Genomic DNA, 25851 nt, shown 5'->3' on the forward strand with positions numbered 1-25851 from the left:
GAAAATTTAGGCAATACCATTCAGGACACAGGCACAGGCAAATTGCCAAAAGCAATTGCAACAAAAGCAAAATTTGACAAATGGGATCTAATTAAACTAAAGAGCTTCTGCACAGAAAAAGAAACTATCATCCGAGTGAACAGGTAACCTACAGAAGAGAAAATTTTTGCAGTCTATCTATCTGACAAAGGTCTAATATCCAGAATCTACAAGGAACTTACATTTACGAGAAAAAAACAAACAACCCCATTAAAAAGTGGGCAAAGGACATGAACAGACACTTCTCAAAAGAAGACATTTATGTGGCCAACAAACACATGGAAAAAAGCTCAACATCACTGATCATTAGAGAAATGCAAATCAAAATCACAATGAGATACCATCTCACACCAGTCATAACGGCAATTAATACAAAGTTAAGAAACAAGAGATGCTGGCAAAGTTGCAGAGAAATGGGAACGCTTTTACATTGGTGGGAATGTAAATTAGTTCAACCATTGTGGAAGACGGTGTGGCAATTCCTCAAATATCTAGAACCAGAAATACCATTTGACCCAGCAATCCCATTACTGGGTATATACCCAAAGGAATATAAATCATTCTATTACAAAGATACACGCACACGTATATTCATTGCCGCACTATTCACAATAGCAAAGACGTGGCATCAACCCAAATGCCCATCAGTGATAACATTAAGAAAATGTGGTGCATATACACCATGAAATACCATGCAGCCATAATAAAGAATGAGATCATGTCCTTTGTAGGGACATGGATCGAGCTGGAAGCCATTATCCTCAGCAAACTAATGCAGCAACAGAAAACAAATACTGCATGTTCTCCCTTATAAGTGGAAGCTGAACAATGAGAACACATGTACACAGGGAGGGGAAAAACACGCACTGGGACCTGTCAGGGGTTGTGGGGGGCGGTGAGGGAAAGCCTTAGGAAAAATAGCTAATGCATGCCAGGCTTAATACCTAGGTCATAGGTTGATTGGTGCAGCAAGCCACCACGGCACACGTTTGCCTATTTAACAAACACGCACATCCTGCACATGTATCCTAGAACTTAAAAAAAAAAAAAAGAAAATGAAAATTAAGGGCTGGGAGGGAGGACTCGAAGGAACACAAAGTTTGTGGAATCGATTAGTATGTATCCTCCTATCTCAGTCTTGACTCTCTTTGCTGACTTTCCTACCCTGGGCCCCACCCCGAGACCGCCCATTTCAGTGGGCCTCTGTGTTTGGAGAACGAACTTCGAAAGACTGGAACACTTCCGCCTGTCAGGCCAGAAGAGATTTCCTGACACCACAGCTGGAAACCCATGTGCATTTCAGTTCAGGAAAGAATGGTAGGCTTGGTGGGGGGAGCTCCCGCAAAAGGGGAACTAATACAGAAACACTCTGGTATTTGTCTGCCTCTCTTGTTCCAGCGCCGTTTTCCCTATATCCGGAATTCGTCCCTGCGCATTCCAATACCTGAAGCGGCCACAGGGTACAGGACAGGGAGCCCTCCGACAGAAAAGAGTCGCGGCGCTAAACAAAGCCTGATATCACTCCGCTTCCATAAGCCGGATCCCCATAAACTACGCTCTAGCTCCTCCCACTGCCGTTGTGGGTAACGCGGACGTGGAAGAACCTCGTCTGCGGAGGAAAAGGTAGATGTTAAATGGTAACTACGCGCGAGGTTCTGAGGAGCCCTGGGAACAGGAAGGAGAAAAGAATACCAAAAGTGACAACAGTTTGCCAATCGCAGTCTTTAATCTGATAAAGCGGTTATCTCGTCTTGAGTCCCAGGTGCCGAGTCAATCCCCATACACAGCCGCCGCCATTGCCTCGAGTCCTTGTGTCTGACTGTCTGTTCCTGCTGCTGTATGACACAGCACCTCGAGGCAAGGAAATAAGAAAACTGCCTCTGATCCAAGCAGAGAAGGTCAGTGAGAAGGTGCGCATCGCTTGGGGGTGGATGTGGGTATCAGAGGTGAACACTGGATACGCGACCTGGTCATGGGAGGCGGGCGGTGAGAAGGAGAGAGAGATGGGTAATTGGAATGGCACACAACAATTAAAAAAAAATGATCTACCTTTTGCTAGCTTGATTTCCATACACTCGGTTCACCTCAGACCATGCTTGGGAAGAAAAAGGTTGCAGCTTCTAGCAGGGAAAAGGCAGACTAGATGAGGAAGAGAGGGCTACTTCCACAGGCGAGGACAGTTGTCTGGGGAGCCCTGAGAGGGAGAGAATGTAAAAAGAGGTTGTAAATGTTTGATAATCAAGGCTCTGGATTTGAAAAGGGTCTCATGTCTTGGTTACTGGTCTGACCATTAATAACCACGTCTCTCTCTCTGTCTTTTCATTTGTTCTTTGGGTGTGTATCACGCGTTTTTATGTGTAAATCTGTTCCTAAGTTTGCAGCACTCCATGTTTCTGTAAAGATCTGTAGGGGACAGCAGACCTCAAGGGGAGAGGAGAAGGAAAAGAAAATTGGCCTGGTTTGTACAGAGTGGGCAGTACTTGGGAGGCAGTACTTGGAGGTGGTAGATGGCTAAGATTAGAGTAGGCAGGAGTGTAAGGGAGCCTCCAGAACTCTCTGCCAGCTTTCCTAACATGTCCTCCCTTACCCGCATTATGTTGCAGAAAATGATAGGCTTTGGGAGAGAGGAAGGAAACATAGGAACCCAGATGAAATATGGAAATAAATACTTTTCATTTTTTCCCCAGCCTCCGTGGTTTGTCTAGGCATTTCGTCCCTACTAACACCACTACTACTACCTTGTAGGGATGTTTGAGTTGTCTCTGTATAGGAATTGTCAGACTTTGAGAATAGAGCAGAGGGGCTTGGAGATTTAGGAGTGGGAGAAAAAGGGGAGATAGAAAATGTTTGCCAAACAGGTACTTATATCCAGAAAGAAACTGTGCCCTAGGTGCTGGTCTCTACCAAAAACAGCCTCAACTGTCTCCTGTGTCTTCATTTATTGGTCTCTGTTTTTGTGAATCCCTGTAGGTAGATCTGTCCCCAGGTCTGTGGAACTGTCAGTTGTGAAGTTTTGTAAAATGGTCACCCAACTTAAAACTAGGAAATTACGAAGAAGAGAAAATTGCCCTGTATCTGTTAAGGTTGGTGTAAAGGTACAGGGACAGGGGGGCAACTTCGACTAGAGAATTCCATCTCTTCTGTTTTGTCATTTTACCAATTATTCCCATCTGCCCCACCCCCTGCTGCTGCTGATTTAGTTGGGAGTCTTGGTAAGTTGTGGGGGTACAGAATGCTAAGCTGCCTTTCCCACTCTCCACTGCTTGTCCTGCTCTCACGCTTGAACCTAGTCTAATCTGAACGAGGGACATTCTAGGGCAATCACTGAAGAGGAAGATGGTGGGCAATAGGAAGGAGGAGGAGGAGTAGCCCTGAAACAAAGCAGTGGGGGAGAGGGGATAGGAGGAGGGAAACACTAGACAAAATCTGGAAAGGCAAGAATAAGGGCAAGGGACCAAGGTCTGTCACCAGGAGATCAGTTTCCACATTCTCCTGTTTGTTTATTTGTCCATAGGTCTGCCTGTAGATCTGCTGTAGGGCTTGTCACCATTGGAAGCAAGGTAAGGAGGAGAAAGTTACTCCAGATCAGTGCAGGTTGGTATGAGTGTGGGGATTGCCTGGGTAGACCTGTAGGATGGAGTAGTGGAGAGCTGCTTGGCTCCAGCAGGGGTCAAGAACCACTAAAGGGATTCCTCAGCTTCTCATCCAGTTTTCCTACTCCTTATGCTCCTGTTTGGTGACTGGAAAGAAGGCTGATGGCACTTGGAAGTGTAGGGAGTGGGTGAAATGAAGGGAGAGAGAGTTTGCTAATTATCTACCTCTCTCACCTAGCACTGAATCACCATATTCTCCTGTCTCCCTGTGCTGATCAGCATGAGGAGAAAAAAGTTGGAAGAGACTCAAAGCCCCATTTCCTTCCTCCACCCCTAGGTCCTACTTCAGTGGCAGATCTGGTGGCCTTGGAGTGGCTGAAGACCACCACCCTCCACAGGGCTGGGCCCATGCACAGCCATCCTTCCCTACCTTGAGTGAGCTTCCTCTGCATGTTTTCTATATCACTGGCAGAGCCTGTAGTTGGAAAGGGGACAGAGTGACTACTGGACTTTGTGTGAAAACACCAACCGGGACAAAACTTCAGTCAAGGCTGAGACGGGTGGGGGTATATAACTTGTCCTTACGTTAAACTTGGAACATGGTTGACTCTGGGACAGAAGCAAGGGCTAGAGGAAAGGCTGAGGCTGGCCTGCAAGATGGAATCAGTGGTCCTGCCACTGCTAGAGTGAATGGTAAAACCCAGGCCGAGGCAGTGGCTGAGGCAGAACTGAAAACAGAATCAGTGACCCAGGCCAAAGCTGGTGATGGAGCAATGACCAGGACACATACAGTGACCTACAGGGAGGCTATGGCTGTGACAAGGGAAGTGATCAAGGTGGAAGATACAACTAAGACTAGAGTCATGGTTGAGACTAAGACAAAACCCCTGGCAGAACGCAGTATAGTGCCACAAACCAAGTCAAAGGCCATGCCTATGTCTAGGGTCAGTACTGTAACCAAGTCTGAAGTCAAGGTTGTTGCTGTCATTGAGGCAAATATTAGGTCCTATGCCAAGTCACATGATAAGGCCAATACTGGGTCCAGACCTGACAGAAGGGAAGAGACCAGCATTGGGATGAAATCCAGTGATGAGGATGAAGAAAATATATGCTCCTGGTTCTGGACTGGAGAAGAGCCTAGTGTAGGGTCCTGGTTCTGGCCTGAAGAAGAGACCTCTCTTCAAGTTTATAAGCCCCTACCTAAGATCCAGGAAAAGCCCAAGCCCACACACAAACCCACACTTACTATAAAACAAAAGGTAATAGCATGGTCAAGGGCCAGGTATATTGTCCTAGTTCCAGTTGAAGGAGGGGAGCAATCCTTGCCTCCAGAAGGAAACTGGACCCTGGTTGAGACCTTGATTGAAACTCCTCTGGGGATTCGACCTTTGACCAAGATCCCACCTTATCATGGGCCTTATTACCAGACCTTAGCTGAGATCAAAAAACAGATTAGGCAAAGGGAAAAGTATGGGCCTAATCCGAAGGCCTGCCACTGCAAATCACGTGGCTTTAGTTTAGAGCCTAAAGAGTTTGATAAACTTGTTGCCCTCCTTAAGTTAACTAAGGATCCTTTCATTCATGAAATAGCTACAATGATAATGGGCATCAGTCCTGCTTATCCATTTACTCAAGATATAATTCATGATGTAGGTATTACTGTTATGATTGAAAACTTGGTCAATAATCCCAATGTTAAAGAACACCCTGGAGCTTTAAGTATGGTGGATGACAGCTCTGAGTCTTCCGAAGAACCAAAATCAGGGGAGTCATATATACATCAAGTTTGTAAAGGCATAATCTCTTGCCCCTTGAACTCCCCTGTGCAGCTGGCTGGACTGAAATTACTAGGGCACTTGAGTATAAAATTTGAAGATCACTATGTGATTACCAGTTATATTCCAGATTTCCTCACCTTGTTAAACAAGGGAAGTGTCAAAACCAAGTTTTATGTTTTAAAAGTGTTTTCGTGTTTGTCTAAAAATCACGCCAATACAAGAGAATTGATCAGTGCCAAAGTACTGTCATCATTGGTTGCACCCTTTAACAAGAATGAGTCAAAGGCCAATATTCTTAATATTATTGAAATATTTGAGAATATAAATTTTCAGTTCAAAACAAAGGCAAAGCTATTTACCAAGGAAAAGTTCACTAAATCTGAGCTTATTTCAATATTCCAGGAAGCAAAACAGTTTGGTCAGAAACTCCAAGACTTAGCAGAGCACAGTGATCCCGAAGTGAGAGATAAAGTCATACGATTAATACTAAAACTCTGAATACCCCTCTGTTCTCATAAAGCCTCAAACAGTTTTTTGGAGTTGCAATATGAAACCAATGCATATTGTAATTATAAATTCAATACTTATGTTTTCCATGTTGATTGAGGGAGGCAATTTTATGGATACCAATTAATCTTGAGATCCTGAACATGTGCTGATTTTTATTGTGCTATATAGTATATAAATTGAGATATTTTTGGTATTTCTGCAACGTGACCTGATAATGAATCTATTCATCCTGAGTAAGCTATACTTCTGTGCTTTATATTGATATGTGTATTCTTTTGAGATTTTATTTACATGTTGTTAATAAAGTTGCATGCTAAAACTGGTGAAAATATTGTCCTAGTTCTTCAGCTGAAATCTAGTCTGGGGGGATAAAGCACAGAGAGCATAAAGATGGTGAAGAACACTGCCTGTGTGTCTGTAGTGGGGCACAAACAAAACAAGTTCACATTGACAGATTATTTAGTTTCGACATACTTAAAAAGTAGAATCACTCTATGCAAGAAGGCAGGACTGTGCTATTAGTTGTCTGTAGGCTCCTACTGATAGGGCTTCAAATGAGGAATGAAGCCCTATCTGGGCAGCTCTGGGGAAGGGAGTAAGGAGGAAGGGAATACAGATGCTTTCATTGTAGTCTCAGTTCCGGAACTTGTGCTCAGCTTTTCACATAAAATGTCTCATCAGGATGCCTTGAAGCTTTTTAACCCCAAGAGGATTCCTGGTTCTCACCCCTATTCAGTAAGCCATGGACAGCTGCACAGGAAGTGTGGTTCTGAAGGGACCCAGCCCCACTGTGCCTTCAACAGCTCCCTCCCTATCCAGGGGTATCAGATTTACTGCTTCATCTGTGATTCTCTCCCCCAGAAGTCCTGGGCCTCAGAGGAGAGTCTTTCTGGGGATTACCTACTGAAACTGCTTCATAGATAATCTCGTCTGTCTCATCTGGTGACTGTTTACTCCTTACCTTTGTTTTCTGGCCAATGTTTGGACTTGGTGATTTGTACCACAGTTGGTAGCAGCCCCTTGTTTGTGCTGATTCTTTTTGGTCAGAGCTCAGCTCTATGTATGGCATAGCCACAGGATACCAAATTCCTTTAGAAGTGCGTAGTTAGGAAGAAATTAATTCCCATAAAACCCACTGTTCTGTCTATTCGCATAGTTTATAGAGCTGAAGCCATGTTGTCTATACTAAGCTTGTCCTGTTTATTCTTAACAAAAGCTAGGTTCTCTGCAAGGATTTGTGGAATAGAATGACAATGTATAGTTTAGGATTTTGGGGTCACCTCTGCCTCTCCTACCCCCTGCCTCTTTTACTGTTAATTTACTGCCCAGAATTGGGAAATATAAATATTAGGATCAGTATACAAATGGTCTTTCTGTTGACCTTCCTCTCCTAACTTTTTATACATTTAGGGGAAGGTCTAAAGTGGAAAATCTCAATATGGTGTAATGGATCCCTACTTTTAATAGCTATCTGTAGTTTAATTTCTACTAGGATCAGTTGTGAATCTATTGTGGTACATCTAAAAGTTTAAATGAAGCACAGTTAGCTACACTTGTGCATTAAGGGAAACAAGCAAGGTAGTTTTTTTGCAATGTGAAACTTCAATTTAGATGATTTTTGAAGTTCTTTATAACATTTTTTAATCCACAGAACTCCTGTAGCCTGTAATACCAGCTGTGGGTACTACTCTCAGTGTTGGAGATCATCAAAATACAATTGGACCAGACCCTTTGGAAATAATTCTGTGTCTCAAATGCCCTGTGGAGCACACACTTAATCAGTTGATGGCTATGGAATTTTCCAACATCAGCTAAAGAGAAGGGTGAGTGTGGGGTGTGTACGTATTTGTGTCAAAGCACAAAGTTGATGGTCTCTCCTTGGATGGGAATTGTGGGATGCGAAGTCATCTCCTAGATTGTTCATGAGGTGTCATCTGTTGATGGACACTTAGGTTGTTTCCATCTTTTGGCTCTTATGAATATTGCTGCAGTGAACATTGGAGTACAAGTATCTGTTTGAGTCCCTGATTTAAATTCTTTTGGGTATATACCTAGACGTGGAATTGCTGGGTTGTATGATTTGTTTAGCTTTTTGAGGAATTACCAGCTGTTTTCCACAGTGCCTGTACCATTTTACATTCCCGTCAGCAATATGCAAGGGTTCCAATTTATCCACATTCTTGGTGACACTTGTTATTTTCCATTATTATTTAAATAGCCATCTTAGGAGGTGTGAAGTAGTATATCATTGTGGTTTTAATTTGCATTTCCCGAAAGTCTTATGATGTTGAGCATCTTTTCATGTGCTTATTGGCCATTTGAGTATATTTTTTAGAGAATGTATGTTTACGTTCTTTGCTCATTTTTAATTGTGTTTTTGGTTATTGTTGCATTGTAGGAGTTTTAAAATATATATATTCTGGATACATGCCCCTTATTAGCTATGTGATTTGCAAATATTTTCTCCTGTTCTGTAGGTTTTTTCACTTTTGATGATGTCATTTGATGTGCAAAAGTTTTTAATTTCAATGAAGCCCAATTTATCTATTTTTTTCTTTTGTTGCTGGTGCTTTTGGTGTCATATCTAAGAATTCATCACCAAATTCAAGGTCACAAAGATACCCATATGTTTTCTTCTAAAAGTTGTATAGTTTTAAACATCAGAGTAATTAGTGTTTCTATCACCTCAAACATTTATCATTTCTTTGTTTTGGGAACATTCGAAATCTTTTCTTGCTATTTGAAAATATATAATTATTTATTGTTAACTGTAGTCACCCTACATTGCTATATAGATCATTAGAACTTATTCCTCCTATCTTGCTGTAATTTTGTATCTGTTAACCAACCTTTCCCACCCCATTCCTTTCCCTATATTCTCTTAACTTTTAATTGAAAAAAAAAAACCACAATAACTTTTGCACCATCCTAATAGTAACCACTATTCTACACTCTACTTCTATGAGATGAGCTTTTATAGCTTCCACATGTGAATGATAATATGTGGTATTTATCTTTCTGTGCCTGGCTTATTTCATATAATGTCCTCCAGGTTCATCCATGTTTCCACCAATGACAGGATTTCTTTCATTGTTATGGCTGAATAGTGGTCTGTTGTGTATATATACCACATTTTTTTATCCTTGCATCTGTTTATGGGTACTTATATTGATTCCATATCTTGGCTGTTGTGAATAGTGCTGTGATAAACATGAGAGTGCAGATATCTCTTTGATATACTGATATCCTTTCTTTTTGATACATACCCAGCAGTAAGATTGCTGGATCATATGGTAGTTCTATTTTTAGTTTATTGAGAAATCTCCATGCTGTTTTTCATAATGGCTGTACTAATTTACATTCCCACCTACAATGTATAAGAGTTCCATTTTCTCTGCATCCGTACCACCATTTGTTATTTTTTTTTGTCTTTTTGACAATAGCCATTCTAACTGGGGTGTGATGATATCTCACTGTGGTTTTGATTTGCATTTCCCTGATGATTAGTGATGTTGAGTGTTTTTTCATATAATTTTTGGCCACTTGTATGTCTTCTTTTGAGAAATGCCTATTCAGATCATTTGCCAATTTTTAAATTGAATTATTTGTGTTTTTGTTGTTTAGCTGTTTGAGCTCCTTGTGTAGTCGTGTTCTACACAATGTTTCAGTCAATGATGGACTGCATGTATGACAGTGGTCCCATAAGAATATAATACCAAATTTTTGCTGTACCTTTTATATGATTAGATACATGAATACTTACCACTGTCTTACAATTGCCTGCATTATTCAATACAATAACATTCTATACAGGTGTGTAGCCTAGGAGCAGTAGGCTATACTATGCAGCCTAGGTATGTAGTAGGCTATACCATCTAGGTATTTGTAAGTAGTACTTTTCTTCTTCTAAGTAGAAGAGCTTTTTTGCCCTTCTTCTTTTAGAAGATCTTAAGAAAATCTGAATCTATGATAGTCTTACAATGGTGAAAATGCCTAAGGACACATTTCTCAGAATGTATCCACATGGTTAAGCAATACATGACTATATATTCTGGATATTAGTCCCTTGTCAGATGAATAGTTTGCAAGTATTTTCTCCCATTCTGTAGATTATCTCTTCACTCTCTGATTGTTTCTTTTGCTGTGCAGAAGCTTTTTAGTTTGATATCCCATTTGTCTATTTTTGCTATTTTGCCTGTGCTTTTGAGGTCTTATCCATAAAATCATTGCCCAGACCAATGTATTTCTCCTATGTTTTCTTTTTCTAGTAGTTTCATAGTTACATTTAGGTCTATAATCCATTTTGAGTTGTGCTAGGAAACCTGGATATCCATATACAGACGAATGAAACTAGACCTCTGTATCTCATCAAGTACTGCAGAATTTTGATTACAGTAGTTTTGTAGTACATTTTGAAATCAGGAAGTGTATGTGCTCCAACTTTGTTCTTCTGCTTCAAGATTGTTTTTGTTATTCTAAGTCCCTTTCCATTCCATGTCAATTTTAGAGTCAGCTTTTCCACTTATACAAAAAAGTCTTTGGAATTTTCACATTGAAATTTTGCTTGGGGGTATTGCCCTCTTTATAATATTTAGTTTCCAATCTATAAAGACATAATGCCCTTCCATTTATTTTGGTCTTTAACTTCTTTTAGCAATAGTTTATAGTTTTAGGTATGTAAGTTGTTCACCTCCTTAGTTAAATTTATTCCTGGGTATTTCATTCTTTTATATGCTATTGTAAATGGAATTATTTTCTTTCTTTTTCATATTGTTCATTGCTGGTATATAGAAACATAACTGATATGTGTTGATTCTGTCACTTGCAACTTTGCTGAATTTATTCACTCTAGTAGTTTTTTTGTGGATTCTTTTGAAATTTCTATCTATAGGGTCATGTCATCCATGATAGAAATACTTTTATCTTCTTTTTTCTTATATGGTTACCATGTATTTCTTTTTCCGGTCTAATTGCTCTGGCTGTAACTTGAATAACAGTGCAGAAAACGGGCATGCTTGTCTTGTTGCTGATCTTCCCAGTGAAAGCTTTCAGTCTTTTACTATTGAATGTGACATTAGCTGTGGGATTTTCATAAATGTCTTTTATCATGGTAAGGAAGTTCCTTTCTGTGCCTAACTTTATGAGTGTTTTTTTAAAGGATATCAGGTTTTATCAAATATCTTTTTTGTATCAACAGAGATGATCATGTGCAGATTTTTTTGTTCTATTCAACTGGTATATTACATCGTTTGACTCTCTTATGCTGACCACCCTTGCATTTCTAGGATAAATCCCACTTGGTCATGGTATATAATCTTTTTAATATGCTGTTGGATTTGTTGTGCTGGGATTTTGTTGATAATTTTTGCATCTATATTCATAAGGAATATTGGTACGTAATGTTTCCTTGTGATGTCTTCATCTGGTTTTGGTATCAGAGTAATGCTGGCTCCGTAGAATTAGTTAGAAGATATTCCCCCTTCTACTTTTTAGAAGAGCTTGAGAAGGATTGTTGTTGACTCTTCTTTATGTTTGTTGGAATTGTCTAGTGAAACCGTCTGGTCCTGGAATTCTCTTTTTGGGGAAGTTTTTGATTACTGGTCTAATTTCCTCACTCTTTATGGGTCAGTTGAGATTTTCTATTCAGTTCAGTGTCTTTTCTATTCAGATTTGGAGTCCGTTTATATAATTTACATATGTTTTTAAGAATTTGTTGATTTCATCTAAGTTATCTAATTTTTGGTGTATAAATGTTCATTGTGTACTTTTAATCTTTTAAAATTTCTGTGTGGCTGGTAATAATGTTCCCCCTTTCTGGTTTTAGATATTTGTGTCTTCTTTTTTTGTCTCTAGCTAAAAGATTGTCAATTTTCTTTATCTTTTTGAAGAACCAACTTTTGGTTTCATTGGTTCTCTCTGCTGTTTTTCCGTTCTCTATTTTGTTTATTTCTACTCGAATCTTTATTATTTCCTTCCTTCAGTTAGCTATGGGTTTCATTTGCTCTTCTTTTTCTCGTTCCTCAAGGTGTAAAGTTAGGTAATTGATTTGAGATCTTTCTTATTTTTTAATGTAGGTGTTTATAGTATAAACTTCTCTCTGACCACTGCTTTTGCTGCATCCCATAAGTTTAGTTATGCTGTTTTTGTTTTTATTCATTTCTGAGTATTTTCTGATTTTCCTTGTGATTTCTTCTTTGACCCATTGGTTATTTAAGAGTGTGTTGTTTAATCTCCATATATATGTGAATTTTTTATTTTTCTTTCTGGCGTTGATTCCTAGCTTCATCCATTGTCAATGAAGATAATTTCACATGATATTAGTCTTACAAAGTTCATTGAGACTTATTTTAGAAGAATGTGTTTTTGCTATTGTTTGGTGCAGAGTTCTATATATGTCTGTTAGGTCTAGTTGATGTATACCACTGTTCAAGTCCTGTATCTCTTTATTGATCTCGAGTCTAGATGCTCTGTTCATTATTAAGTATGGGGTTTGAAGTTTCCTACTATTATTATAAAACTGTATTTTTTCTCTTCAGTTCTGTCAGTGTTTGCTTCTTCTTAGGGACTTTCGCTTTCCTACTTATTTAATTCTCCTGTATTTTAACCCCACTATTTTTATAGGTTTCCCCATATCTGCATGGAACATATAATCATTTTTCCCTTGGGAGGAAAAAAATCCTTTTCCTAACACTAAACTCACACTTTTCCAGCTATCTTTCTCTTCACCCTTTCAGAATAATCAAGTTTTCCGCATTTGTTGTTTCTGCTTTCTCATTTCCTACTCAGTCCTCACACAATTGCAATCTAGTTTCTTTCTCCACTACTCAACTAAACTCTGCCTCAGAACTTGGTGCCCTGTGTCCTAGCTACTTCAACTCCAGCTGTGGCTAAAAGGGGCCAAGGTACAGCTCAGGCTGTTGCTTCAGAGGATGCAAGCCCCAAGCCTTGGTGGCTTCCACATGGTGTTGGGCCTGTGGGTGCACAGAAGTCAAGAACTGCAGTTTGGGAACCTCTGCCTAGATTTCAGAAGATGTATGGAAATGCCTGGATGTCTAAGCAAAAGTCTGCTGGAGGGGTGGAACCCTCATGGATAACCTCTGCTAGGGCAGTGTGGAAGGGAAATGTGGGATTGGAGCCCACAGAGTCCCCACTGGGGTACTGCCTTATGGAGCTGTGAGGAGAGGGCCACCATCCTCCAGACCCCAGAATGGTAGATCCACTGACACCTTGCACTGTGCACCTGGAAAAGTCACAGACACTCAACAACAAGCCTGTGAAAGCAGCTGGGAGTGGGGCTGTACTCTGCAAAGCCACAGGGTCAGAACTGCCCAGGGCCGTTGGAGCCCACCTCTTGCATCAGCATAATCCAGGTGTGAGACATTAAGTCAAAGGAGATCGTTTTGGAGCTTTAAGATTTAATGACTGCCCTGCTGGATTTCGGACTTGGATGGGGCCTGTAGCCCCTTCGTTTTGGCCAATTTCTCCCCTTTGGAACAGGAGCATTTACCCAATGCCTATACCTCCATTGTATCTAGGAAGTAACTAACTTACTTTTGATTTTAACAACTCATTGACAGAAGGGTCTTGCCTTGTCTCAAATGAGACTTTGGACTGTGGACTTCTGAGTTAATGCCTAAATGAGTTAAGACTTTGGGGGACTGTTGTGAAGACATGATTGTGTTTTGAAGTGTGAAAAGTCATGAGATTTAGGAGGGGTTGGGATGGAATGATATGGTTTGGCTCTGTGTCCCCACCCAAATCTCATCTCAAATTGTAATCCCCACGTGTTGAGGGAGGGACCTGTAATCCCCACCTGTTGAGGGAGGGAAGTGATTGGATTATGGGGGCGGTTCCCCAGTGCTGTTCTCATAATAGTGAGTGAATTCTCATAAGATCTGATGGTTTTATAAATGGTGGTTTTTCCTGCACTCTCTCTCTCACCTGCTGCCATGTGAGATGTGCTTGCTTCCCCTACCACCATGATTGTAAGTTTCCTAAGGCCTCCTCAGCCATGCAGAGCTGTGGGTCAATTAAACCTCTTTCCTTTATAAATTACCCAGTCTCAGGTAGTATCTTTATAGCAGTGTGAGAACGGACTAATGCAGCCATGGAGTATAATTTTTCAAATATGCTGCTGAATTTGGTTTGCTAGTATATTCTTGAGAATTTTGCATAAGTATTCATAATAGATATTGGTTTATGGTTGTTAGTTTTTTCTTATAGTACCTTTGACTTTGGTACCAAGCTAATAGGAAGTAGCCCCTCTTCTTTCATTATTTTTTAAAGAGCTTGAAAAGGATTCCTGTTAATTCTCCTTTAAATGTTTAGTAAAATTTACTAGTGAAACGATCTGGTCCAGTGTTTTTCTTTGTTGGGAGGTTTTTTGATTACTGATTTGATATCCTCACTAGTTATAGGTGTATTCAGATTTTCTATTACTTAATTATTCAGTTTTGCTAAATTGTATGTTTCTAGGAATGCATCCATTTCATCTAGGTTATCCAGTTTTTTGGCATGCTGTTGTTCATAGTACTCATACTCTTTTTTTGTTTCTATAAAGTGGTAATAATATTTCTGCTTTCATTTCTGATTTTATTAATTTGAGTTCTCCGTCATTTAAAGTCAATCTAGCTAAAGGTTTGTCATTAAAAAATATTTTCAAGTGCTGACTTTTGATCTTACTGATTTTCCTTGTTGTTTTCTACTCCATATTTATCTCCATTCTAGTGTTTATTATCTTCTTTCTGCTGGCTCTAGGCCTAGTTTGTTATTCTCTTTCGGATTCCTTAAGATGTATAGTTTAGTTGTTGATTTGAATTTTTCTTTTTCTTTCTTTTTTTTTTTTTTTTTGAGATGGAGTCTTGCTCTGTCGCCCAGGCTAAAGTGCAATGGCACGATCTCGGCTCACTACAACCTCCATCTCCTGGGTTTAAGCCATTCTCCTGCCTCAGCCTCCTAAGTTGCTGGGACTACAGGCATGGGCATGCGCCACCACACCAGGCTAATTTTTGTATTTTTAGTAGAGATGGGGTTTCACCATGTTGGCCAGGCTGGTCTCAAACTCCTGACCTCAAGTGATCTGCCTACCTCGGCCCCCCAAAGTGCTGGGATTACAGGCGTAAGTCACCACGCCCAGCCTGAAATTTTGTTATCTTTTAAGTCTAATGCTTATTATCTCCTTATTGCCTTCAATTTCACTGAATTCTGCTCTTTTATGATTTCTTTGTTCTGCTCAATTTGGATTTAATATCCTCTTCTTGTTTTAGTTTTTAAAGGTGGCATGCTAGATAATTAATGTTATTGATACTTCTTTTTTCTGATATATCTATTCAATTCTACAAATTTACTGTTAAGCACTGCTTTATTTGCATGCCGTAAATTTTAATGTTATATTTTCATTTTGATTTATTTTAAACTATTTTAAAAATTTTCTCTTGGTAGTTCTTCTTTGATTTATTTGTTATTCAGAAATGTGTTGTTTAATTTTCAAATATTTTGGATTTGACAGCTACATTTCTATTATTTTCTTGTTTAATTCCATTATGGTCCAAGAACATACACTGACTAATTTGCTCTTTTAAGTTTGTTAAGGTATTTTTTGTGGCTCACAATATGGTCCATCTTGGTGTCTGTTCCATGTGATCTTTAGAAGAATGTATATTCTGGTTTTAGATGAAATATTCTACAGATGTCAATTAGAACCAGTTAATTATTGGTGCTATTCAGTACAACTGTGTCCTTACTGCTTTTCTGCCTAGTGGATCTTTCAATTACTGAGAGTGTTGAAATCTCTAATTATCATAGTGGATTTGCCTGCTTTTTTTTTGCAATGCTATCACATTTTGCCTCCCATATTTTGATACTCTGTCTTTAGGAACATATATAGTAAGAGCTGTTATGTCTTCTTTGACATTTGACCCATTCATTATTGTTGAAGTCTGCTTTTTTCTTTTGATTCTTTTGATTAGTGCTTGCATCTTATGTCTTAGTCTCCTTTACTTTCAAGCTATCTGTGTCTTTATATATATATAGTGGATTGTTATTGACAACATATAGTTGGGTCTTGATTTTTTTCATTCACCCCTAAAGTCTGTCTTTTAATAGGAGTATTCGGACAATTCGTATTTAAAGTGATTATTGACATATTTGGATAAATGTTTAACACATTTGTAACTATTTTATGTTTGTTGCCATGTTCTTAGTGTTGTATTTTGTAATCCACTTTGTTTCCGTCTTCTCTGGTTTTAATTGAGCATTTAAAAAATTATTCCATTTATTTTGTTCTCTTAGTGCATTAATTATACAAGCTGAGTATCCCTGTTTTGAAAATTTGAACTCTAAAATGCTCCAAACTCTGAAACTTTTTGAGCACCAATGGGACTTTAAAAGAAAATTCTCATTGGATTTTGGATCTCAAATTTTTTGTATTAGGGATGCTGAACTGATATAATAAGTATAATGCAGATATTCCAAAATCTGAAAGGAAAAAAAAAGCTGGAATCTTAAACTTTTCTGGCCCCAAGCATTTCGGAGAAGTATTTCTTTTTACAATTTTCTTAGTGATTGCTCTAGGTTTGTCATATACATTAGCAACTACTCTAAATTCAGTTTCACATAACACTATACTGATTCATGGGTAGTTCACATACCTCATGACAAGGTGTTACCAATTCTTCTCTCTCATCCTTTCTAACATTGTTATCATTATTTCAAATATCAATAAGCTGTAATCACTGAATACATTGTTTCTATTGTTATTTTGAACAAATTATTGTCTATTAGATCAATTAGAAATAAGAAAAATATGGTTGACTGTTGAACAACACAGGTTTGAACTGCACAGGTCCACTTATATGCAGATTTTCTTCTGCCTCTGCCACCCCAAGACAGCAAGACCAGCCCCTCTTCTTCCTCCTCCTTGGCCTACTCAATGCGTAGATGATAAGGATGAAGAACTTCATGATGGTCCACCTCCACTTAGCGAATAGTAAATATACTTTGTCTTCCTTATGATTTTCTTAATAGCATTTTCTTTTCTCTAGCTTACTTTGTTGTAAGAATATAATATATAATACATCTAAGATACAAATATGTGTTAATAAGCTGTTTATCAGTAAGATTTCTGATCAACAGTAGGCTATTAATAGTTTGGGAAGTCAAAAATTATATATGGATTTTTGACTGTGCAGTGGGGTCAGCACCCCTAACCCCTGTGTTGTTCAAGGGTCAACTGTAAAATATTTGTAAATTTCATTTATCCCTTCTTCAACAATCTTTTTTTCCTATGTAGATCTGACTTTCTTACCTGTATAATTTTCCTTCTCTCTGAACTACTTTTAACATTTCTGGCAAGAGAGGTCTACTGGCAATAAATTCTCTTAATTTTTTAAAGCACTTCTAGGAGACTGTCAGGAAACAAATCCAGCAAGCTTATTGTTTTATTTATGAAAACAAATCCTCATTTGAATGTCCCAAATCAAATGGTCTTTAAATACAAAGACTCACAACCAGAGTTAAAAATTTTTACATAGAACTTATTGAAGTAGTTAATCATGGAAGTTAATCATAATTATGTTTTCAGATAAAGTGGGTGGCTCTTAAAAGTGACTTTGAGTTGGGTAGAATTATTGCTGAGGAAGCTTTATGCTTTCTGTCTACGAATGTGGCATGTAAGCTCGATGTTCTTGAGCATGATAGTCACTCAGAGTGGATGGCGCACAGATTGATGTTCTCAAAGAGCCCCACCAGGTAGGCCTCTCACACTTCCTGCAGCTGCTGAGCTTTGGAAGTGCAGGTTGGTCTTGAAGTTCTGTGCGATCTTGTGCACCAGATCATGGAATGGCAGCTTGCGGATCAGCAGCTCAGTTGATTTCTGGTAGCAGCGGATCTTACGCAGGGCCACTGTGCCAAGCTAGTAGCTGCTAGGGCTTATTTATGCTTCTGGTGCTGGAGCACTCTTGCGGGCTACCTTGGTGGCCAGATTTTTTTTTTGTTTGTTTTATAATTTTTATATAACATTTTAATGTTTTATAATTTTTTATATAACATTTTAATGTCTTATAAAAACAAAATTATATAACATTTTTCTAGGTGAACTTATTCTTTGTGTTCCTGGGATGTCTATAGACAATGTTACAGTAACTTTTGACTACAGATCATTTTTTTTCAAATGATATAATATTGATAAAGTATTGTAGGGCTCCCAAAATAAAATGAGTTGGTTTTGAGCCTATGGATGAGAAATCTGCTGGGGAAATGGTCAAATTTTATGTATTTTTTTTTATTATACTTTAAGTTTTAGGGTACATGTGCACATTGTGCAGGTTAGTTACATATGTATACATGTGCCATGCTGGTGCGCTGCACCCACTAACTCGTCATCTAGCATTAGGTATATCTCCCAACGCTATCCCTCCCCCCTCCCCCCACCCCACCACAGTCCCCAGAGTGTGATATTCTCCTTCCTGTGCTCATGGGTAGGAAGAATCAATATCGTGAAAATGGCCATACTGCCCAAGGTAATTTACAGATTCAATGCCATCCCCATCAAGCTACCAATGACTTTCTTCACAGAATTGGAAAAAACTACTTTAAAGTTCATATGGAACCAAAAAAGAGCCCGCATCGCCAAGTCAATCCTAAGCCAAAAGAACAAAGCTGGAGGCAGCACACTACCTGACTTCAAACTATACTACAAGGCTACAGTAACCAAAACAGCATGGTACTGGTACCAAAACAGAGATATAGATCAATGGAACAGAACAGGGCCCTCAGAAATAACGCCGCATACCTACAACTATCTGATCTTTGACAAACCTGAGAAAAACAAGCAATGGGGAAACGATTCCCTATTTAATAAATGGTGCTGGGAAAACTGGCTAGCCATATGTAGAAAGCTGAAACTGGATCCCTTCCTTACACCTTATACAAGAATCAATTCAAGATGGATTAAAGATTTAAACGTTAGACCTAAAACCATAAAAACCCTAGAAGAAAACCTAGGCATTACCATTCAGGACATAGGCATGGGCAAGGATTTCATGTCCAAAACACCAAAAGCAATGGCAACAAAAGACAAAATTGACAAATGGGATCTAATTAAACTAAAGAGCTTCTGCACAGCAAAAGAAACTACCATCAGAGTGAACAGGCAACCCACAAAATGGGAGAAAATTTTCGCAACCTACTCATCTGACAAAGGGCTAATATCCAGAATCTACAATGAACTCAAACAAATTTACAAGAAAAAAACAAACAACCCCATCAAAAAGTGGGCGAAGGACATGAACAGACACTTCTCAAAAGAAGACATTTATGCAGCCAAAAGACACATGAAAAAATGCTCATCATCACTAGCCATCAGAGAAATGCAAATCAAAACCACTATGAGATACCATCTCACACCAGTTAGAATGGCAATCATTAAAAAGTCAGGAAACAACAGGTGCTGGAGAGGATGTGGAGAAATAGGAACACTTTTACACTGTTGGTGGGACTGGAAACTAGTTCAACCATTGTGGAAGTCAGTGTGGCGATTCCTCAGGGATCTAGAACTAGAAATACCATTTGACCCAGCCATCCCATTACTGGGTATATACCCAAATGACTATAAATCATGCTGCTATAAAGACACATGCACACGTATGTTTATTGTGGCATTATTCACAATAGCAAAGACTTGGAACCAACCCAAATGTCCAACAATGATAGACTGGATTAAGAAAATGTGGCACATATACACCATGGAATACTATGCAGCCATAAAAAATGATGAGTTCATGTCTTTGTAGGGACATGGATGAAATTGGAAATCATCATTCTCAGTAAACTATTGCAAGAACAAAAAACCAAACACTGCATATTCTCACTCATAGGTGGGAATTGAACAATGAGATCACATGGTGGCCAGATGTTGACATGGCAGTTTACCTCCAGTAGACTTGTGTGTAGTCTGCTTGATGTGGGCCATTTCAGATTAACCAAAGAAAAAACACAGATTTGGTCTCAAATTATGTTTGTCTGAAAGTCTTTATCTTCTACACTTTAGAAGGATTATTTTGTTGTATCAGTATTTCAGATTGGTGTGTTTTTTTACTATAACATTTTAGATATTCCACTCCACTCTCTTCCTGATGGCATGGTTTCTGAAGATAAGTTCAACCTAATTCTTAGCCTTGCTCTTCTGTAAGTAAGGCATTTTTTTTCTTTTGGCTTCTATGAAGATTTTATCTTAATCTATGAAGATTTTGTCTTTCATTTTCTGCAGCTTGAGTATAATATGTCTATGTGTAAATTTTTTTGGTTAAATTCTGCTTAGTGTTCTGTGAGCTTCTTGGATTTGTGGTTTGGCATCTGCTATGGTTTGAATGTCCCCTCCAAAATTCATGTTGAAATTTTATTGCAAAAGTAATACTGTTGGGAGTTGGGACCTTTAAGAGGTATTTAGATTGTGAGGTCTTCACCATCATGAGTGGATTAATGCCATTATGGAGGGCGTGGGTTAGTTATTCCAGGAGTTAGGCCCTCTTTTTTTCTTTGTCTCACATGCTGACTTGCCCTTCCATAATGTTATGATGCAGCAAGAAGACCTTCACCAGATTCAGCCTTTTGATCCTGGACTTCTCAGCCTCCAGAACCATGAACCAAATAAATTCCTTTTCTTTACAAATTACCCAGTGTGTGATAGTCTTTTATAGCAGCAGAAAACAGACCAAGACAGCATCTGTCATTCAGTTTGCAAAAGTTTCAGCCATTATTACTTCAAATGGTTGTTTCTTTCTTTCTTCCCCTTCTGGTATCACCATTATGTGTGTGTTACAACTTTTGTAATTGTTCCATAATTCTTGGATATTCTTTTCTGTGTTTTTTCTTTTGGTTTATCTATTTATTTTATTTATTCCTTCCTTTTTATTCTTGTCAGTTTGAGGACTTTCTACTGATATAGTTCCAAGCTCACCGATTCTTCCCTTGACTGTCCAATCCACTGATGAAGGAATCCTTTAGAGGTATTCTTCATTTCAGTTACAGTGCTTTAAATTTCTAGCATTTCCTTTTGAGTATTTCATATAATTTTCTTTTCTTTGTTTTTTGTCTAACTTTTATTTTAGGTTCAGTGGTACATGTACAGGTTTATTATATAGGTTTATTATATAGGTGTATTATCTGTACACTTGCACCACAGGGGTTTGGTGTACAGATAATTTTGTTGCCCATGCACTAAGCATAGAACCGAATAGGTATTTTTTTAAATTATCTCCCCACTCCTACCTTCAACCCTCAAGTAGGGCCCAGTATCTGTTGTTCCCTGCTTTGTGTTTATGTGTTCTTGTCATTTAGCTCCCACTTATAAGTTAGAACATGTGATATTTGATTTTCTGTTCCTGCATTAGTTTGCTAAGGATAATAGTCTCCAGCTCCATCAATTTGCTGCAAAGGACACAATCTCATTCATTCTTATGGCTGTGTAGTATTCCCTGGTATATATTTACCACATTTTCTTTATCCAGTATACCATTGATGGGCGTTAAGATTGACTCCATGTCTTTGCTTATTGTGAATAGTGCTGCAGCGAATAAATGCGTGCATGTGTCTTTATGGTAGAACAATTTATATTCCTTTGGGTATATACTCAGTAATGGGATTGTTGGGTCGAATGGTCATTCTGTTTTTAGTTCTTTGAGGAATCACCACACTGCTTTCCACAATGGCTGAACTGATTTACACTCCCACCAGCAGTGTGTAAGTGTTCCCTTTTCTGTGCAACCTTGCCAGCATGTTATATTTTGATTTTTAAATAATAGCCATTCTGACTGCTGTGAGATGGTATCTCATTGTGGTTTTGATTTGCATTTCTCTAATGATTTATGATGTTGAGCATTTTTTCATGTGCTTGTTGGCCACATGTATGGCTTCTTTTGAAAAGTGTCTGTTCATTTCCTTCACCCACTTTTTAATGGGGTTGTTTGCTTTTTGCTTGTAAATTTGTTTAAGTTCCTTATAGATGCTGGATATTAGACCATTGTCAGATGCATAGTTTGCTGATATTTTCTCCCATTTTATAGGTTGTCTGTTTACTCTGCTGATAGTTTATTTTGCTTGCAGAAGCTCTTTAGTTAACTTAGTTCTCTTTTATCAATTTTTGCTTTTGTTGCAATTGCTTTTGGCATCTTTGTCATGAAATCTTTGCCCGTTTCTGTGTCCAGAATGGTATTTCCTAGGTTATCTTGCAGGATTTTTATAGTTTTAGGTCTTACATTTAAGTCTTCAATCCACCTTGAGTTGATTTTTGTATATGATGTAAGGAAGGGATCCATTTTCAACTTTCTGCATATGGCTAGCCAGTTATGCTAGCACCATTTATTGAATAGGAAATCCTTTTTCCATTGCATGTTTTTGTCAGTTTTGTTGAAGATCAGATAATTGTAGGTGTGTGGCATTATTTCTGGGCTCTCTGTTCTATTTCATTGGTCTTTCTGTTTTTGTACCAGTACCATGCTGTTTTGGTTATCGTAGCCCTGTTGTATAGTTTGAAGTTGGGTAATGTGATGCCTTCAGCCTTATTCTTTTTTCTTAGGATTGCCTTTGCTATTCAGGTTCTTTTTTGGTTCCATATGAATTTTAAAATAGTTTTTGTCTAAAATCTCAATGGTAGTTAAATAGTAATAGCATTGAATCTGTAAATTGCTTTGGGCCTTATGGCTATTTTAACAATATTGACTCTATGAGCATGGAGTATTTTACCATTTGTGTCCTCTCTGATTTCTTTGAGTAGTGTTTTGTAATTCTCATTGTAGAGATCTTTCACCTCCCTGGTTAGCTGTATTCCTAGGTATTTTATTCTTTTTGTGGTCATTGTGAGTGGGATTACATTCCTGGTTTGGCTCTCAGCTTGGATGTTGTTGGTACACAGGAATGCTATTGGTTTTCCTATGTTGATTTTGTATTCTGAAACTGCTAAAGTTGTTTATCAGCTCAAGGAGCTTTTGGTCATAGATGATAAGGTTTTCTAGATACAGAATTATGTTGTCTGCAAACAGGGGTAGTTTGACTTCCTCTCGTCCTATTTGGATGCCTTTTATTTCTTTTTCTTGTCTGATTGCTTTGGCCAGAACTTCCAATACTATATTGAACAAGAGTGTTGAGAGAGGGCATCCTTGCCTTGTGCCAGTTTTCAAGGGGAATGCTTTCAGCTTTTGCCCATTCCCTGTGATGTTGGCTGTGGGTTTGTCATAGATGACTCTTATCATTTTGCAGTATGGTTCTTCAATGCCTAGTTTTTTGAAGGTTTCTAACATGAAGGGGTGCTGAATTTTATCAAAAGCCTTTTCTGCATCTATTGATAAAATCATGTGGTTTTTGTCTTGAGTTTTGTCTATGTGATGAATTGCATTTATTGATTAGCATATGTTGAACCAACCTTGCATCCCAGGAATAAAGCCTACTTGATTATGATGGATTAGGTTTTTTATGGGCTGATGTTTGCTAGTATTTTGTTGAGGATTTTTGCAGCTGTGTTCATCAGGGATATTGACCTGAAGTTTTCTCTTTTTTGTTGTGTCTCTGCCACTTTTTTGTATCAGGATGACGCTGGTCTGATAGAATGAGTTGAGGAGGAGTCCCTCCTTCTCAATTGTTTTGGAATAGTTTCAGTAGGAATGATACTAGCTCTTTGTACATCTGATAGTATTTGGCTGTGAATCAGTCTGGTCCTAGGCTTTTGTTGGTTGGTAGGCTATTTATTACTGATTCAATTTCAGAGCTCATCATTGGTCTGTTCAGGGATTCAGTTTCTTCCTGGTTCAGTCCTGCAAAAATGTATGTATTCAAGAATTTATCCATTTCCTCTGGATTTTCTAGTTTTTGTGCATAGAGGTATTCATTATAGTCTCTGATGGTTATTTGTATTTCTTTGGGGTTAGTGGTAACATCTCCTTTGTCATTTCTAATTGTTTGGATCATCTCTTTTTTCTTCTTTATTAGTCTAGCTAGCAGTCTATCTGTCTTACTGATTTTTTGAAAGAAGCAGCTCCTGGATTTGTTGATTATTTTTTATGACTTTTCATGTCTCAGTCTGCTTCAGTTCACCTCTGATTTGTCTATTCCTTATCTTCTACTAGTTTTGTGGTTGGTTTGCTCTTGCTTCTCTATTTCTTCTAGTTATGATCTTAGGTTGTTAATTTGAGATTCTCCTAATTTTTTGATGTGGGCATTTTATGCTATAAATTTCCCTCTTAACACTGCCTTAGCTATGTCTCAAAGATTATGGTGTGTTGTATCATTGTTCCCATTAGTTTCAAGGAACTTCTTTACCCAGAAGTCATTATTTACTGAAAAGTCATTCAGAAGCAGGTGGTTTAATATCCACATAAATGAATGATTTTGAGCAATTTTCTTTGTATTGAAGACTATTTTAATTATGCTGTGGTCTGTAAGTGTGGTTGATATGATTTCAGGTTTTTTGAATTTGCTAAGGATTGTTTTATGTTCAATTGTGTGGTCAATTTTAAAGCATTTGGCATGTGGCAATAAGAAGAATGTATATTCTGCTGTTTTTGGATGGAAAGTTCTGCAGATGTCTATTAGGTCCATTTGGTCAAGTGCTAAGTTCAGGTCCTGAATACCTTTGTTAATTTTCTGCCTTGATGATCTGATACTGTCAGTAGGGTATTGAAGTCTCCCACTATTATTGTGTGGGAATCTAAGTCTCTTTGTAGGTCTCTAAGAACTGTTTTAATGAATCTGGGTGCTCCTGTGTTGAGTGCATATATTTAGGATAGTTAGGTCTTCATGTTGAATTGGACCCTTTACCATTATGGGTTCCAAAAAAGACTTTATCTTTTTTGTTTTTGTTGATTTAATGTCTGTTTTGTCTGAAATTAGGATTGTAACCCCTGCTTTTTTCTGTTCTCCATTTGCTTGGTAGATTTTTTTCCATTCCTTTATTTTGAGCTTATGGGTGTCATTACATGTGAGATGGGTCTTTTGAAGTCAGCATACCATTGGGTCTTGCTTCTTTATCCAGCTTGCCAATCTGTGCCTTTTAATTGAGGGCATTTAGCCTGTTTACATTCAAGTTTAGTATTGATATGTGTGGATTTGATCCTGTCATCATGATGTTAGCTGGTTATTATGCAGACTTGTTTGTGTGATTGCTTTATAGTGTCACTGGTCTGTGTACTTAAAAGTATTTTTGCAGTGGCTGGTAACGGCCTTTCTTTTTCATAGTTAGTGCTTTATTCAGGAGCTCTTGTAAGGCAGGTCTGGTGGTAACGAATTCCCTCAGCCCTTACTTGTCTGAAAAGGATCTTATTTCTCCTTCACCTAGTAAGCTTAATTTGGCCAGATATAAAATTCTGGGTTGGAATTTCTTTTCTTTGAGAATGTTGAATATAGTCCCCAATCTCTTCTGGTGTGAAGGGTTTCTGTTGAGAGGTCCACTCTTAGCCTGATGTGGTTCCCTTTTTAGGTGACCTGCTCTTTCTCACTAGCTGCCTTTAACATTTTTTCTTTCATTTCGATCTTGGAAAATCTGATGATTATCTGTCTTGGGGATGATCTTCTTGTGTAGAATCTTTCAAGGGTTCTCTGCATTTCCTGAATTTGAATATTGGTCTCTCTAGCGAGTTTGGGGAAGTTTTCATGGATGATATGCTGAAATATGTTTTCCAAGTTGCTTGCTTTCTCCCCATCTCTTTCAGGGATGTCAGTGAGTCATAGATTTGGTCTCTTTACATAGTCTTGTATTTCTTGTAAATTTTGTGTTTTCCTTTCAATTCTTTTGTCTTTATTTTTGTTTGACTGTCTTATTTCAGGGAGCCAGTCTTCAAGCTCTGAGATTCTTTCCTCACCTTGTTCTATTCTGCTGTTAATATTTGTGATTTGATTGCATTATGAAATTCTTGTAGTGTGTTTCTCAGCTCTTATCAGGTCAG

At 38.3% G+C, this 25851-nt stretch overlaps 2 protein-coding genes and 1 pseudogene across 9 annotated transcripts in view, besides 2 other annotated features; 2 read left to right on the forward strand and 1 right to left on the reverse strand.

Annotated features, from left to right (window-relative positions):
* Positions 1296 to 6249, forward strand: ARMCX5 (armadillo repeat containing X-linked 5). 6 transcript variants are annotated; one of them, NM_001168479.2, is made up of 6 exons: positions 1296 to 1356; positions 1438 to 1662; positions 1796 to 1937; positions 3010 to 3122; positions 3554 to 3599; positions 3970 to 6249. In NM_001168479.2, the coding sequence occupies exon 6, from the start codon at positions 4232 to 4234 to the stop codon at positions 5906 to 5908; it is 1677 nt and encodes a 558-aa protein (NP_001161951.1). In that variant the 5' UTR covers positions 1296 to 1356; positions 1438 to 1662; positions 1796 to 1937; positions 3010 to 3122; positions 3554 to 3599; positions 3970 to 4231; the 3' UTR covers positions 5909 to 6249. The 6 variants fall into 6 exon arrangements, with proteins under 6 accessions (NP_001161951.1, NP_001161952.1, NP_001161957.1 ...); NM_001168480.2 differs by having other exon boundaries at positions 1802 to 1937; NM_001168485.2 differs by lacking the exon at positions 3010 to 3122 and having other exon boundaries at positions 1802 to 1937.
* The window catches only part of ARMCX5-GPRASP2 (ARMCX5-GPRASP2 readthrough), a 308717-nt gene continuing 284303 nt past the window's right edge, over positions 1438 to 25851 (forward strand). The window contains exons 1-4 of one of the 3 annotated variants that reach the window (NM_001199818.1): positions 1438 to 1662; positions 1796 to 1949; positions 3554 to 3599; positions 7572 to 7743. The gene's annotated coding sequence lies outside the window, so the exon portion shown is untranslated. Of the gene's footprint in view, positions 1950 to 3553; positions 3600 to 3969; positions 4068 to 7571; positions 7744 to 25851 lie in introns of all 3 variants that reach the window. The other 2 variants (NR_146584.3, NM_001350268.2) reach the window with 2 other exon arrangements.
* Positions 1651 to 2422: an enhancer, noted in NCBI's record as "H3K27ac hESC enhancer chrX:101854489-101855260 (GRCh37/hg19 assembly coordinates)". NCBI's record gives its function as "activates a minimal SCP1, AML or CMV promoter by ChIP-STARR-seq in primed H9 embryonic stem cells {active_cell/tissue: H9 hESC(primed)}" and the evidence as "EXISTENCE:reporter gene assay evidence [ECO:0000049][PMID:30033119]".
* Positions 1855 to 1904: an enhancer, noted in NCBI's record as "active region_29814". NCBI's record gives its function as "activates an Ori minimal core promoter by ATAC-STARR-seq in GM12878 lymphoblastoid cells {active_cell/tissue: GM12878}" and the evidence as "EXISTENCE:reporter gene assay evidence [ECO:0000049][PMID:35858748]".
* H3P45 (H3 histone pseudogene 45) lies at positions 17563 to 17910 on the reverse strand (annotated as a pseudogene).

This window comes from Homo sapiens, chromosome X (genome assembly GCF_000001405.40).
Source record: "Homo sapiens chromosome X, GRCh38.p14 Primary Assembly".
Taxonomy (NCBI): Eukaryota; Metazoa; Chordata; class Mammalia; order Primates; family Hominidae; genus Homo; species Homo sapiens.

Coding starts and splice junctions, on each gene's coding strand:
- ARMCX5 (NM_001168479.2), top strand. CDS start 4,232: ATGGTTGACTCTGGGACAGAAGCAAGGGCTAGAGGAAAGGCTGAGGCT.